General features: G+C 53.7%; 1 protein-coding gene across 3 annotated transcripts in view, besides 3 other annotated features; it reads left to right on the top strand.

Moving 5' to 3' along the window:
• The window catches only part of WDR4 (WDR4 tRNA N7-guanosine methyltransferase non-catalytic subunit), a 49,905-nt gene extending 46,353 nt beyond the window's left edge, over nucleotides 1-3,552 (top strand). For all 3 annotated transcript variants that reach the window (XM_017028264.2, NM_033661.5, XM_011529433.2), the window contains one exon: nucleotides 3,365-3,552. The gene's annotated coding sequence lies outside the window, so the exon portion shown is untranslated. The remainder of the gene's footprint in view (nucleotides 1-3,364) is intronic.
• Nucleotides 6,918-6,967: an enhancer, noted in NCBI's record as "active region_18532". NCBI's record gives its function as "activates an Ori minimal core promoter by ATAC-STARR-seq in GM12878 lymphoblastoid cells {active_cell/tissue: GM12878}" and the evidence as "EXISTENCE:reporter gene assay evidence [ECO:0000049][PMID:35858748]".
• Nucleotides 7,028-7,187: an enhancer, noted in NCBI's record as "active region_18531". NCBI's record gives its function as "activates an Ori minimal core promoter by ATAC-STARR-seq in GM12878 lymphoblastoid cells {active_cell/tissue: GM12878}" and the evidence as "EXISTENCE:reporter gene assay evidence [ECO:0000049][PMID:35858748]".
• Nucleotides 11,180-12,131: an enhancer, noted in NCBI's record as "H3K4me1 hESC enhancer chr21:44254625-44255576 (GRCh37/hg19 assembly coordinates)". NCBI's record gives its function as "activates a minimal SCP1, AML or CMV promoter by ChIP-STARR-seq in naive H9 embryonic stem cells {active_cell/tissue: H9 hESC(naive)}" and the evidence as "EXISTENCE:reporter gene assay evidence [ECO:0000049][PMID:30033119]".

Genomic DNA, 16,441 nt, shown 5'->3' with positions numbered 1-16,441 from the left:
AACCTCCCAGGCTCAAGCAGTCCTCCCACCTTGGCCTCCCAGAGTGCTGGGATTACAGGCACGAGCCATTATGCCCAGCCCGTCTTTCTTCATTTTGATTACAGTGTGCGTACTGTACATCCGAGAAGTGCATGTGAAATGCTGGAACTGGGATTTCAGCAACTGAATGCACGTGTGTGACTACCCACGAGAAGCAGGACACTTAGCACCTGCTGAGAAGCCCCCACGCCCATGTTCCCTTCTAGGCACTGCACAGGCATGCTGGCCGGCCTGACCTCAGTTTCCCTCTTGCTGTGGCCGCTTCTGCTCCACTCTCTGTGAGGCTCATCCACCTTGTTGCCTGTGGTTGTGGATTGTTCATTCTCAGTGCTCTGTATGCCAAGTACTCCATTGTGTGAAAATCCCACAGCACGTTCATTCTATTATCAATGGGCATTTGGGTAGTTTCCACAGTTTGGCTGTTAGGAATAGTGCAGTGATGAACATGCTGGCACCTGTCTTCTGTTTTTTTTTTATTTTTAGAGACAGGGTCTTGCTCTGTTACCCAGGCTGGAGTGCAGTGGTGTGACCTTGGCTCGCTGGGCCTCCTGGGCTCAAGCGATCCTCCCACCTCAGTCTCCTGAGTAGCTGGGACTGCAGGTGTGTGCCTGCGTGCTGGCTAATTTTTGTAGTTTTTGTAGAGATGGTGTCTTGCTCTGCTGCCCAGGCTGGTCTCGAACTTCTGGCCTCAAGCAGTCCTCCTGCCTTAGTTTCCCAAAGCACTGGGATTACAGGTGTGAGCCACTGCCCCCGGCCAGCACCCGTCTTCTGGAACATTTGTAAGCATTTCTGTTGGGTGTGTACTTGCGCGTGGAATTGCTGGCTCTCAGTTATGCACATTTCTTAGAAGATCCTGCCAGTCCTTCATCCCAGACCCCGACCCCAGCGTGGAAAACGCAGTGCATCCTCAACGCCTAGTGTTTGCGGCTGTGGCGGCTCATGATCGACTTGGAAGGCCCACAGTGTGTGGTGTGGAGTTTTGCAGGGAGCCAGTGACACTGCCCACCTTCGATCCAGACCTAACCTTGATCCTGTTCTCTGAGGCCACCTTACCAAAACCTTGACTTACCCGTCTTAGATCACTTACCCTGGGGGAAATGTGCCGCAAGCTCACGAGGGCACTCAGCCAGCCTACAAAGGTTACCATGGCAGAGAACTGAGGCCTCCTGCCAGCAGCCAGCAGCAGCTGACCAGCCGCGAGGGCCCCTCCGGGAAGGAGAGCTTTCTGTGTTTCTTCCTGTACCCCATATATGTTGACGTGATACGTTTTACTTTCTGATTTCCCTTGTGAGATCTTTGGTCTGTGGGTTATTTGGAAGTATGGTTTAATTTCCAAACATTTAGGGTTTTCCTCCAGATTTTGTTGTTGTTTCTGGTTTCTGGTTTTAATTCCACTGTGGTCTCAGAATATACTTTGCTGACTTCCCTCTCTTTAGATTTGTTGAGCCCTGTTTTGTGCTTCATAGTGGGAGGGTGATTGTATGTGCACGTGCAGATATGTGTGGCCCCCACACGGTATCTCCAGCTATCCGTGTCTTGCCTCTCCGTGCCCAGTGCACCCTTCTCAGCCCTGCCGTGTGACCCTGGGCTGGGCCCTCCCTGTACCCTCCTTTGCAGGTTGGCACAGTGTTTGGCTCTGTCACTGGAAGGAGCTGGAGGGACTCCACAGGAGGGAGGGGCCTGCCCTCCTGGTTCCAGTGTGCTTGCTTTTCCTGGCTTCCGTGGTGTGTGCCTGCCAGCCTCATGGTGGGGGCGGGGGCTCTCAGTGACAGTCTGCAGGAGTTTAGCAACACCCAGGTTCATTCACCACGGTGGGAAGGATTCCTGCTAAGCTTCCTTGCCTCTGTCCAGCTCCCAGGGCGTCTGCCTCCCTCCTGCCCCAGGGAGAGCTTCTGGGTGAGTCTCGCTGGCACTCCTGCCCCGGGCTTCCTGCTCTCAGGCCTTGGCCTGCTGCACCTTGGCCAACTGCACCACCCGGCACATCATAGCCCCACTCAGGTCAGAGCTGCGTCTCAGCCGACGTGGGGTTCCGAGGTTCTCACCAAGATCCAGACTCAACGCTTGTGGGTTTGTTGTCTCAGTCCTGGCGGTGGAGGTTCTCCCGAGGCCTCAGCGCCTCCGTTCTCGGAAGTCTCTTTACATGTTAGTGGAACCCTCTGTTCCTGTTGAATCATTCTTCGTGTTAAATGTTTCTATCTCTTGACTGATACATGATAGTCATCATGTATGTATTCTGCGGCTGCTTTTGTTTTTTTCTCTTTATCCCTGGTTTTCTGTAATTTGATAAGCTTTAGGGTATGTGTGTGTGTTTTGGGGGTTTGTCAAGATTTGTAGGCTTTGTCATTTTTATGCAATTTGGAAATATTCTAGCTATTCGGTCTCTTCCCCTGCCTCCTGCAGTCCCAGGTACTCGAATGGGCTGCTTGCTGTGGACTCATGGGTCCGTGAGTCTGCTCATCTTCTTCAGTTTGCGTTTCATTTTTGGTAGATTCTGTTTCCACGTCTTCAAGCCCACTGATCTTTTAAGCTGCTGTTAAGCTATGGCCATTTTCTGTATGAGCCATTGTGTTTTTTCATCTCTATAAATTTGGTTTTGGTATTTAAAAAAATGTCTTCCAGCTAGGCTGGCGGCTCACACCTGTGATCCCAACACTTTGGGAAGTTGAGGCAGGGGGATTGCTTGAGCCCAGGAGTTTGAGACTAGCCTGGGCAATACAGTGAGACCTCATCTTTAAAAATAATTAAAAAGGTCAGGTGCGGTGGCTCACGCCTGTAATCCCAGCATTTTGGGAGGACAGTGGATCACAAGGTTAGGAGTTTGAGACCAGCTTGGCCAATATGGTGAAACCCTGTCTCTACTAAAAATATAAAAAATTAGCTGGGCACATGCCTGTTGTCCCAGTTATTTGAGAGGCTAAAGCAGGAGAATCGCTTGAACCTGGGAGGCGGAGGTTGCAGTGAGCCGAGATCGCGCCACTGTACTCCAGCCTGGGCGACAGAGCAAGAATCTGTCTTAAAAAAAAAAAAAATTAGCCAGGTGTGGTGGCACATGCCTGTAGTCCCAGCTGCTCGGGAGGCTGAGGCGGGAGGATCACTTGAGCCTGGGAGTTTGAGGCTGCAGCAAGCCGTGATTGCACTACTGCATTCCAGCCTGGGTGACAGAGTGACGGTCTCAAAAAAAAAAAAAAAAAAAAAAAAAAGCACACCAGTGTCTTCCATTTCTCTTTTAATCATAATCATGCTTTAAAAAATACCCTCGAGCATATGGAGCAAATTTAAGATAATTGTTCCTTTTCTGCTAATTCATTATTACTGTCATATCTAGGTCTGTTTCTGTCGACTGTGGACCACTTATGTGCGATCCGTGGACCACTTGCGTGCGATCTGTCGGCCGACGATGAGCTTGTTCGGATGTAGCTCCATCGTAAGTCGAGGAGCATCTGTGATTTGTCCTCTGCTTATGGGATATGTTTTTCCGCTACTGAGTCTGTGTAGTAAATTTTTGACTAGGAACATGGTGAGATTTACATTATTAAGTGTGAAGTTTTGTTAAGGTTCCTTTAAAGAATATTACGCTTTCTGGCCGGCTGTTAAGCCCCATGTAGATTAATTTGGTCTTTTTCAGGTTTGTTTTAAGCTCACTAGAGTGAGGCTGAAGTAGCCTTTCCTTGGATGATTTAGTCCTTCCCAGGTGTGACCCTCCTGCTGTCCCTGCAGAATCCTGGGTATTCAGAAGTGTCTGCACACTGGCTGGAGGGACGAGGGTGATTTCTGTGCAAGGCGGGAATTGTTTGTCTTACCCTCCGGAGGATTGTTTTTTCCTCAAAAGCTACTCTTTGGCGTCCTGGGGTTTTACAGAATGTGTAGGTTGGTGTTCATCCGAAGACCCCAACGGGACGCTGGTGTGTATTTCCTTTCATCTGTGCAGCTCCCCTCCCCTTTGCGGGTATTCTGTCCCCAGTTCTAGCTGCCTTGGCCTTACCTATACCAGGGAGGCCAAGTGGCCCGCTCGCCCCACTCCCCTTCCAGACAGGGTGCAGACAGGGCCCTCCCATCTCCTGGACGGCGGCGGCCCCTGTGCAGAACTTCATGGGCACCTGGCTGTCTGGGGGCCTCTTCCCCAGGGAGTCTCCTGGTGGTGGCCGTGTTGCCTCAGGCTCACTGTGCACTAGGCAGGTCACGTCAATGCCACCTGAGGGGCAGGGGTTACCACCCTGTGGTTCAGGTGAGAAGCCCGAGGCCCAGGTGAGGAGTGTCTGGCAGTCCGTGCAGTGTCTGGACAGTATGCCAGCCCCTGCCCGGAGGCCCAGCTTCTCCAGCCCAGCCCACACCCACCAGGAAATGCCCCGATTTTACTCCCCTGGGGCAAAGGCCCTTGGCTGGCTGAGCATCCCCTCTCCCAGCACTCGGAGGCACCTGCAGTTGCTCAGCTGTTCATTGAGTGCTGGGAGTGGAAACTCATACGCTGAGCGGCAGTGACGCTGCGGAGCTGACAAACCCCACAGCCCGCCCGGTCACCTGCTTCACCGAGGGCCACAGCCCCCCCGGGGTCAGGTGGCCACAGGGGTCCTGGCCATGTGGGACATCTGTTCTGTGGCCCTGCTCAGGATGGCACCTGGCGGGGACTGGCCCTGGGGTCGAGGCATGGGCTCAGCCACTGCCCTGCAGGGACACAGCCAGGACCTCTTCCCGGCAGAGGGACTCCCCCACTAATCCCCAGAATACTGAGGGGCACGCTGGGTGCCAGGCTGGCAGGGACCCTGGGGATTCTGCAGCGAGCTGAATGGGGTGGGAGTTCCTTCTTAAAATGTGGAGTCTGGAGGCCACTCTTGGCGAAGCGCTGGTGCCCGGGGATTCTGCAGTGAGCTGGGCATGGATTCGTGAAGCTGCTCATGGTGAAGCGCTGGGGTGATGGTGGATGGGCCACAGCGCCACTGTCACAAGGAAGGTGGGTGACAGCGAGTGTTCCCTGTTCCCTTACCAGCGAGTGCCTCCCTGGGAACTTGCCCCCAGGCTGTGCTCTTGGGCCATCTCCTTCATCCTCACCTTCACAGCCACCCCTCCTTCTCCCAACTGAGGCACCTGCAGAGGAGAGGGGCCCCAGACGGGGACAGCAGGGCAGAATCCCAGCTCCCAGATCCGGGAGAGGGGGGATTGGGTGTGGCGGCAGTTTCGGGGGTAGGGGGCCAGGTGGGTGTGGGACCCAGGGGCGTGGTTTCAATCCTCCCCCCAGGACCTTGGGAATGGCCTCCAGGAGCCTGGCATGGGGAGGCCAGGGTCACCAGCTGAACCATCTGGACCAGAATTGCACAGCAGCGCCCTCTCCTCTACAGCAAGACGTCACCCAGGGGTCCCCACAGAGGAGGCAGGGAAGCTTGAGGGTCCCAGAGGAGCGTGGAGCATGCACCATGCTACGCTATACCACACTACACACACGTGCACCATACACGTACATATGCATGTGCCACACATCACACACGTGCACATTCCACACCATGCACACACACCCACCACACCACACATGTACTTACGCATGTACCACACCACATCACACGTGCGCACTCCGCACCATACATGTACATACACAGGTACATCATGCACTCACATACCACACATCCACATACACACATGTGCCACACCACACTAAACTCACACCATACATGCACATATCCACATACACACAGGCACACACCACACAGAACATGCACACACCATAGAGGCACCCACACACAACCAATCACGTATGCACACACTCGCACCATATATATGCACATACATAGATTCATACATCACACATCACAGTACACCACCCCACACAGGCACTTATGCACCATATGTGCACATACACTCACACCACACATGCACACCAAACATCACATACACACTCGCACAATATGTGCATTGCGCACATACACACCACACATTACACTACACACACCACACCACATACGCACACATGTCCACTCATGCGCAGACACCATACAGATACAGGTGCACACATATACCACACACACATTATACCACGTACTATGCCACACACACAAACCATACATGCATACGCACAAATACCATACCATCCCACTCACACTATACATGTACACATGCACACAGACACACCATACCACAAACACACGCACACCACCACATACAGATACATACCATCCCACTTACACCATACATGTACATACATACCCCACACATGCACACATTCACACAGCATCACAGACACCACATACAGCTGTGCACACACTGTACCACTCACATCATACATGCACACACACTACACTATATAGACACCATACACACACACCACATAGATACGCATACACAAATACATCATACTATTTACACACATCATACATGCATAGACACCATACACAGACACACCACGCACACTCATACACATACACACACACGGTCTGGAGATGGAGTCACTGCAGCCAGCAGGGGTGGCGTGCAGACAGGAGGGCCTAACTCAGGCAGGCACAGCAGGTACACAGGGGCGGCCCCCTGGGGGCTTGAGGCGGCCCGGGAACCCTCCTCCTGCCCAGCCCCTCCCATCTGCCCCCCTGGGGGCTTGAGGCGGCCCGGGAACCCTCCTCCTGCCCAGCCCCTCCCATCCACCCCCCTGGGGGCTTGTGGCCCCAGCCTCCTTCCCGTGGCTTCGAAGCCCCTCGTCCTCCCAGGCCAGCCCCATCCTCACCCACAGGCGCTCCCAGCACTCTGTGAGGCTCTACTCACGGATGGCAGGCACTTCCCCTTACTGGTCTCAAAGGAGACCCTGGAGCAGATGGTCCCGAGACCCCTTCCTGCCAGACACCCCTGGGCTGGGGCCACTCCAGGTCGGGGCATGCAAGTGCTGCCCACCAAAAAACCACCGTGGATGCAGCGGGGCCTCTGCACATCACCCCTCGGTGCACTGGAGGCCTCAGCGGTGCTCCTGGCTGAGCATGGGGACTTCACTACCAGTCTGCCCTGGGTCACGTATGGAAGCCTCAGCCGGAGGCGTGGGAGCTGAAGGCCCGACGCTTCCTGTTCTGCTCAGCTCCTCCTTGGAGGAAGTGGGGTTTGCACCACGATGGCCCTTCACCCCTGCCCCCTCCTCTCTACACCTGCACTGATGTCAGACAGCAACCTCTCAAGACAGGTGGGACACGCCATTCCTCCTGTGAGGTCACAGCGAGAAGTGCATCAGCTTGAAATGAGAGGCAGCTCTTGGGGGCAGGAGTCAGTGGCAGCACCAAGCGACCCACCCACCACGTTTGGGGGTTGGGGACCTCCAAAGCAGGCAGGGGCTTGCTTCCATCAGATTTGGGGGAGGGCACCATTAGGGAGAAGAACACAGAGGCCTTGGGAGTGAAAACTGACCTTGGAAAGCAACAGGAACACCTTCTGCTAAGGAGCGGAATGAAAAACCCTGGAGAGCAAATTCCTGAGCAGGAGAATGGAGTGGAGGAAGCAGCCAAGGAGGATAAAGAGATGGGAACAGGAAAGAAAACCTGTAGGATGAGATGTTGCTATGTTGCTCAGGCTGGCCTCCAACTCTTGGGCTCAAGTTATCCTATCTCTGCCTCCCAAAGTTGTTTTTTGAGACAGAGTTTCACTCTTGTTGCCCAGGCTGGAGTGCAGTGGTGCAATCTTGGCTCACTGCAACCTCAGCCTCTCAGGTTCGAGATTCTCCTGCCTCAGCCTCCTGAATAGCTAGAATTACAGGTGTCCACCACGCCCGGCTATTTTTTTGAGTTTTTAGTAGAGACGGGGTTTAACCGTGTTGGACAAGCTGGTCTTGAACTCCTGACCTCAAGTGATCCGCCTGCCTCGGCCTCCCAAAGTGTTGGGATTACAGGCGTGAGCCACCGTGCCCGGCCTTCATTTTGCCTTTAAAAACCACTGCTTGGTAGGGCGTGGTGGCTCACACCTGTAATCCCAGCAGTCTGGGAGGCTGAGGCGGGTGAGGCGGGTGGATCACCTGAGGTCAGGAGTTTGAGACCAGCCTGGCCAACAGGTGAAACCCCATCTCTACTAAAAATACAAAAATCAGCTGGTCCTGGTGGTGTGTGTAGTCCCAGCTACTTGAGAGGCTGAGGCAGGAGGATCACTTGAACTTGGGAGGTGGAGGCTGCAGTGAGCCAAGATCGTGCCATTTCACTCCAGCCTGGGTGACAGAGAGGGACTCCATTTCAAAAACAAATTTGACAGGGAACAGTCACACAGTTTAGAAAGGATTATGCAAACCAGAATCAATAGTGACCTGATGAACCGGGCTTTCTGACGATTCTAAACCACGGAGGCTGAGGGGCCCAGCTAAACAATGACAGCACCTCGGGGAAGTGGGTGAGATGTGCAGCGGGCTGTGGAAGGAGGCCAGAAGGACCAGGGCCCTAGTCCAGGCTGCTGGTGATGAGAACTAAACAGGGCGCAGGGCGACGAGCAAGTGCTGTAGTCCGAGGAGCGGCCCCTGGGCGCCAGCGCCATGGGTGGAGGCCGTCCCTCCTAAGGCGCAGCCGGTGCATTTGGGACCGGGGGAGCAGATCCCGTGCCTCCCTGGACCCCGGGGTCTTGGGATCACCCGGCCGCAGAGGCAGAGGCTTCGGCTGCACAGAAACCTGGGGTGGCCGCAGGGAAGCAGCGCCCTCAGGTGACTGGAGAGTGGGTAAGAGAAGCCCCAAGAAGGACCTCGCCCATCCCCGTAGGCGTGGGACGGCACAGGCCGCCAGGACCCCCACGCACAGCCCAGTCTGCGGGGCGCGACCCCAAGGCCAGCAGCAGAGGACAAGGACGGGGCCAGGGCAGGGGCCAGGGTTGGCAGAGGGCGGAGGGTGGGGAGGGCGCTCTGGGGAGGTCAAGGCCAGGGCTAGGCTTTCAGGGCCATGTCCTGGCTCCCCGCCCCTCGGGGAGACGGGGGCGGGGAGCGCTGTGAGCAGAGGGGCCCGGGTGGAGAAGGTGCTGCCGGCCAGCGGGAGGGAGGGCAGCGGGGGTGCAGCAGAAGCCCAGGTGGGGACTTGGGGTGGTCGAGGGGACCCTTGGGCTGCAGGGACTGGGGAGGGGAGCAAGGGGTATGGCTTAGGCAGGTGCCAGGGGACGGTTGGTGCCCTTTATTCTGAAGGGGGATGTGCTGCCCAGGGCAGCGGGACCTGGAATTACATTTTGAGATTTCCAGGAAAGTTTCAGGTGGAGGCAGAGGCTGGGCGCAGAGGAAAATGTGGCAGTGGCAGAGTGTGGGGTGAGAGCCACGAAGAGAGGAGGTCACTGAGGTGGACAGTGGGACAGAGAGAGGGACGGGGAGAGGAACAGGAGTTTCAGAAACGTCCTGGACACATTGGGCAGCCGTCAGCATTGCTTTCCATTCATGGACAAAGCGTGGGTGCCCAGAAGAGGCCAGAAGCCAGTGCAGAAGCCCAGGCCTCCCTGCCATCACCCGGTGCTGGCTGAGCTGCAAATGGCTGTGCAGAGCCTCCTCCATGCCTCACCCTGGTCTGGACCGGACCACAGGGCCCTTTGGATCCTTTCCCAGGTCCCACGTCTGACCCACACCCAGAAGCAGCGCTTGGTGGAGTCTGCCCTGAAGATGCACGTCCAACAATATGCAAACACCCAAAAGGTTATAGGCTGTGCATTGTGTCACAAGGGAGCACTGTGCAGCCGTGACAGATGAGTGACAATGTAGGGTGGTTCCCACGACCCGCTGCTGAGCACGAAGCAGGTGCAGATGTGTATCTGCAGCGTGTGCTCTTCAGGTAAGGGAGATGGGGAGAGAAGCAGTTACTCGGGTGCTCTGGAGGAAGGAAAGATAAACCAGGACCTAAAGAGAGTTGTTGCCTGCAGGGGCGGATGGGAGTGGGGCAGAAAGAAGGGAACGGGAATGGAGTAGCAGGGATGGGGCGGAGCAACATTTTTCTAAGGAGACTTTCTGTGAAGCGCCCCATTCTTAGAATCACAGTGATGTTTCATAGCCCCCCAAAATAATGAAGATCAACCAGATTGTGGGAGAAATTCCAAATGGATATAAACAGTAACAAGCAAACTTCACTGTTCAAAAGGAATAACTTTACCATCCTGAATCCAGGGTGAAGGAAAGAAACGAGTAACTGTGGGCCAGGAACAGTGGCTTACGCCTGTAATTCCAGCACTTTGGGAGGCTGAGGCAGGATCACCTGAGGTAAGGAGTTCAAGACCAGCCTGGCCATCACGGTGAAACCCTGTCTCTACTAAAAATACAAAAATTAGTTGGGCATGGTGGTGCACACGCCTGTAGTCCCAGCTACTGGGGAGGCTGAGGCAGGAGGCCCAGGATGTGGAGGTTGCAGTGAGCTGAGATCACATTCAAGCCTGGGCCACAGAGCGAGACTCTATCTAAAAAGAAAAAAAAAGTAACTTTGGAAAATAGGATTTTGATGGATACCGTAAGTAAGTTTAAAGACAAAAAGAACTGGACAGAATACTGGAGATCAAGCTTGTCCAACTCGCGGCTTCTGGGCTGTGCGGCCCAGGACAGCTTTGAATGCGGCCCAACACAAATTTGTAAACTTTCGTAAGACATTATGAGATTTTTTTGCGATTTTTTTTTTTTTAACTCATCAGTCATCATTAATGTTAGTGTATTTTATGTGTGGTGCAATACAGTTGTTCAGTGTGGCCCAGGGAAGCCAAAAGCTTGGACACCCCTGCTGTAGATGGTGACTGTTTTTCACATGGGTCCAGGCCAGCAGTTCTGAAATGTATGTACACACGAGGATTGACCACACAGGTAAATCTAATCTGCATCGGACAGTGAGAGCCAGAGGGAGGCCAAGGAAAGCCCTTGGTGTTGGGTTGGCTCCAAGGTATCTGTGTAAACCCATGGTTTTTACCATGTATATATGCAGGTAGATACAGGAATAAATGCAGAAGCCTGCCTATGCTTGGGCTATTAAGTATGCATGTCTTTTCTAGGTCTTTAAGCTCAAAGGGTCTAGAAACGATGATATCCCAGCCACAGTGAGCTCACCTTGCACTCAGATCTTCGTTTTCTAGCACTATTCTCCAGCGTATGAAACTGGCAATCCTTGGAGAACTGGTTTGTTCCAGGACTGGGGCAGACGAAATCCTAGCTAAGCCTGGAGTACTTTGTAGACCCAGGAAATGAGGATGTGTTTGAAAAAGATGGGGAATTGTTGAAAGAACCCAGGGGCCAGCCTGAGGGAGATCCCAGGGGCCAAACCTGGAATGAGTCAATGGCCATAGCATTGGTTTATAACAGCATAAAATAAATGTCCCCAAATCCATACTGATATCAACAGATAACTGGATACGGCCAGGTGGCTCATGTCTGTAATCCCAGCACTTTGGGAGGTCGAGGTGGGCCACTGCACTCCAGCCTGGGCGACAAGAGCAAAACTCCTGTCTTGAAAAAAAAAATTCTTAGTAGAAGCAGGAGACTTCCAGTCATGGGCCCACTTGGACTCCTCAGCTACGATGGCTGCATTCCCAGTGTCGCCCACACCCCTGCCTCCCTGGCCGCCTCCAGCAGGGCTCTGGGTCAAGCGAGAAGAGAGGTCCACTTGTGCGAGGAAGGTCCGTCTTTCTGTCTACAGGCCTGAAGATGGACCTGGGAGAGCACGACCTCGCCACAACATCACCATCCTGATCAGAGGCGAGAGGGGACAAGGTCATAGGTGTGGAGGTGGGCAGGTGGTGTGGAGTGGAGCCTACAGAGGGGATGGGGGTGTGTCCTGGAGTGCACAGGGTGAAGGACCCCCGCCCCTACCCCACCACCTTGGGTGCTTAACCAGAAAAGTGGAACAGCAGAACACCAAAGGGTATGTGTGCACACATGCACGCACGCACACACACATACACACGCACTGCTGAAGGCCAAGACAGGCATGGACTGGTTGACCCTAGGAGGTAGGGTATAGAGGATCAGAGAGTGCCCTGCATGGGAAAGATGGGGACCAACCATTCCCAAGCACCAAAGACAGACTTGGAAAATCCCAAAGAAATACTAGAGCGCGGCCCCTGAGTAGGGCTGCTGAAGTATTTGCTTCCTCCTCGGTCAGCCCGAGCCCTGAGGCACGGCGTCCTGCCTACCCGGTCTAAGCGCAGCACTGGGAAGTATGATTGTGGGGCACAGGGCAAAGCCTGAGGGGTGATGGAAACACTCCACGTCTTGACTGGGGTGACGGTTACATGGTGTACACGTTTGACAGTACTCACCCAACAGCATCTTTTGAGATCTCTCTGTTTTGCTGTATGTAAATTACATCCCCCCTCCCCGCCCCTGCAAACACAGAAATTCAGGAAGGCAGGAAAATCAGGCAGGAGTCCTTCCCGGTCTCACTTGCCCCTGGATGTCCCCTGTGGCCCTCCCGCTATGACCTGACCACTTTCTCCCCCTCTGCTGGTTCATGCACAAACACAGCCAGGCCAAGTGACTCCGTACTTTAAAAGTCCCCACGCCATCATCTTCCTGTCCCAGGACCCAAGCCAGCCTCCCAGGCTGCCCTTTGCTGTCGCCTTAGTCCCCTCCACGCTGTGACTGTCCCTCAGTTCGTCCTGGCCTCAGTGGCCATGACACCTCTGAGGGGTGAGTGCTGCGGAATGTGTCTCCATGTTTGGCCGGACATCATTTCACAGGCTACACATTTTGGCGGGAAGTGCATGCAGTGGCGCTGTGTCCTTCCCAGGGTACCACACCAGGGGTCCACATGTCCAAGTGTCTCATGACTGGCAATGTTGACCTTGAGCACAAGGGTAAGGAGGTATCTGCCAGGTTTTCTTTTTCTTTCTCTCTCTTTTTTTTTTTTTTGAGACGGAGTTTCGCTCTGTCTCCAAGCTGGAGTGCAGTGGCGACATCTCGGCTCACTGAAACCTTTGCCTCCCAGGTTTCAGTGATTCTCCTGCCCTAGCCTCCTGAGTAGCTGGGATTACAGGCGCGTGCCACCACGCCTGGCTAACTTGTGTCAGGTGTGGCACATGCAAGCAATTCCCAGCAGCACCACAGCCTGACACGGGGAGGCAGCACCCTCGATAAGGCAATGTATACTCACAGCGACACCAGTGACTCTCTGCCCTTAGAACATGCTGAGTGATTCTGCAACCAAATTCAGAAACAGGCAAAGCCAACGTCAGGTGTCAGAAGTCAGGGTCATCCTTACTTCTTGCAGGGTGTGGGGGTTGAATACAAGAACACTTGAGGGGAGGGGTCTGCAAAGCCGCTGCGGGTGCTGTTTCCTGATGTGGCCAGGACAATGAAAAGCAAGCTGTGGTCTGTTCACACGGAGGAATGTGTGTGCACTTAGGATTCGCTCTCCCTGCCTGGCTAGCCAGTCTCCCCAGTAACAGGTAAATGCACATTTTCAGGTCAAAAAATAAAGACAGGAAGAGCTGGAAGCAGGGTTGATTGGCACGAGCCGCTTGTTCTAGAACTAGAAGCCAAGAGCACTTTGTCCTGATGCTGTGCTGGATACTGTCCCTGCAGGTCCTGAGGGACCCGCTGAGGCATCCAGAGCACATCTCGTGGCCACAGCTCCAGTGAGGGTGGCAGAGGCATCCCACAGATACTGAGTAGTCCTGCGGTTGGAGGGGGCTGGCAGATGATGGAGGGGGCTGGCAGACAGCACGTGTGAGTGTGGGGAAAAGGCATGGCAAACTTCAAAGCAGACACAGAATGACACGCAGTCCAGGAAGAAGCATTCTGCTCTGTTTCAGACTGCTGTGCAATTGAACTAAAATAAAACGATGCACCCAACCTTGGCCCACTCCCCACCCTGTACATTGACCAGACAGTCAGAGGAAGGCAGGGCAAGGACAGGTCCCTCTGATGCAGTCTGGTGGCTGCGTTTCCGTGGTGCCTCGCCACTATTCACTCGACTCTAGATGTCCTTGCCCTCAATACACGTTGATGGCTAAAAGCAGCCTAGGGCCGGACACGGTGGCTCACGCCTGTAATCCCAGCACTTTGGGAGGCCAAAGTGGGTGGATCACTTGAGGTCGGGTTCAAGACCAGCCTGGCCAGTATGGTGAAACCCCCATCTCTACTAAAAATACAAAATTTGGCCGGGCATGGTGGCACATTCCTGTAATCCCAACTACTCAGGAGGCTGAGGCAGGAGAATCACTTGAAGCTGGGTTCGGGGGGAGGGGGGAAAGCAGCTTAGAAGAATTGCAGGCCGGGCCCGGTGGCTTACACCTGGAATCCCAAAATTTGGGAGGCTAAGGCAGGTGGATTGCTTGAGGTCAGGAGTTCAAGACTAGCCTGACCAACATGGTAAAACCCTGTCTCTACTAAAAAAAAATACAATAATTAGCTGGGCGTGGTGGCGGGCGCCTGTAATCCCAGATATTTGGGAGGCTGAGACAGGAGAACCGCTCGAACCCAGCAGGCAGAGGTTGCAGTGAGCCATGCCAGCCTAGGCAATAAAGCAAGACACAGTCTCAAAAAAAAAAAAAAAAAAATGCACAAAGGAAACAACAAGTTAGCAAGGATGTGGCACAACCACTTCAGAAAACCAGAAGTTTTGGGCCAGGCACAGTGGCTCACACATGTAACCCCATCACTTTGGGAGGCTGAGGTGGGAGGAACACCTGAGTTGGAGGCTATAGTGAGCCATGATTGTGCCACTGCACTGCAGCCTGGGCAAGAGAACAAGACTGTTGTCTCAAAAAAAAAGAAAAAGACAAAATCAGCAGTTTTTAACAAGTCATAAATGCACTGATGGCCAGGCAATCCTACTCCTAGACATTTACCCAAGACGGATGAAAGCAATGTCCCTGAAAAGATTCGCACAAAAATGTTCACAGCAGTTCCATTCTCAACAGCTCCAGACTGGAAACAAACCAAATGTCCAATTTGATTTGTCCAAAAATCAAATTCCAGCACATTCATCCAAAGGAATATACACAGCATTAAAAGGAAGCAGGAGGGCCGGGTGCAGTGGCTCACGCATGTACTCCCAGCACTTTGGGAGGCCGAGGTGGGTGGATCACCTGAGGTCAGGAGTTCGAGTCCAGCCTGGCCAACATGGTGAAACCCCCCAGTCTACTAAAAATACAAAAATTAGCCAGGCATGGTGGCGCATGCCTGTAATCCCAGCTACTTGGGAGGCTGAGGCAGGAGAATCGCCTGAACCTGGGAGGCGGAGGTTGCGGTGAGTGGGGATCATGCCATTGCACTCCAGCCTGGGCAACGAGTGAAACTCCATCTCCAAAAAAAAAAAAAAAAAAACCAAGTTTAAAATTTTTGGAACTCCTGTTTAGTTTCTAAGTATTACTTCACGTTGGAAACACTGGGCTTGTCTCTCTGGCAGGCACAGCTCATACCTTACCCACTAGTGCCCTGGTTCTCATCGGGACCACAGCAGGGGGCAGTGTCAGTCATGAGAGGTGGCTCTTTTTATTCTGAAAATGGTTTCCCCTTTAAGATTTTCAGGTTTTGGGGAAAGCGATTCTGAGAACTCTGAAGGCTATTTCCACGGAAATGAGAAGAAAAATATTTTCCAAGGACCAAGTACCCACCGGCCACCGTGGGAAATGTTTTCACGGCCGCTACACTGAAGTTTCACTGCCACCTAGGGAAGTTGCTATCACTGTCACACTTCATGAGTGAGGCGCCTGGCGCTCCATGACTGCCTGTGGTCACACACAGGAAGGTGCTGGAGCCAGGGGTGGAACTGGCATTCCTCCAAAGTCAACCCCCCACTCTGGGTGCGGTGGCTGATACCTGTAATACCAGCACTTTAGGAGGCCGAGATGGGTGGATCACCTGAGGTGAGGAGTTCAAGACCAACCTGGCCAAGGTGGTGAAACCTCGTCTCTACTAAAAATACAGAAATTAGCCAGGTGGGGTAACGGGTGCTTGTAATCCCAGGTACTCAGGAGGCGGAGGTGGGAGAATCGCTTGAACCCGGGAGGGGGAGGTTGCAGTGAGCTGAGATCGCACCACTGCACTGTTGCCTGGATGACCGAGTGAGACTCTGTGTCAAAAAAACAAAACAAAACAAACTGGCTGGGCGCGGTGGCTCATGCCTGTAATCCCAGCCCTTTGGGAGACCGAGGCAGGTAGATCACCTGAGGTCAGGAGTTCAAGACCAGCCTAACCAACAAGGAGAAACGCTGCCTCTACTAAAAAATATAAAAATTAGCCAGACGTGGTGGCAGGTGCCTGTAGTCCCAGCTACTTGGGAGGCTGAGACAGGAGAATTGCTGGAACCCAGGAGGCAGAGGTTGCCATGAGCCAAGATCGCATCACCGCACTTCAGCCTGGGCGACAGAGCGAGACTCTGTCTCAAAAAAAAAAAAAAACCAAAAAACACAAAGTCAAACCTTACAATGGACTAGACTGTTGTCTCCTTGAGAGAAGACACGGCTTTCTTTGTCCTTGGCTCCCTGAACCTTGTGCGGTCCCGTCCACACAAGAGGTGCT

Source organism: Homo sapiens, chromosome 21, assembly GCF_000001405.40.
Source record: "Homo sapiens chromosome 21, GRCh38.p14 Primary Assembly".
Taxonomy (NCBI): domain Eukaryota; kingdom Metazoa; phylum Chordata; class Mammalia; order Primates; family Hominidae; genus Homo; species Homo sapiens.
Note: the sequence above shows the minus strand (reverse complement) of the source record. Positions and strands in the feature narration are given on the sequence as shown.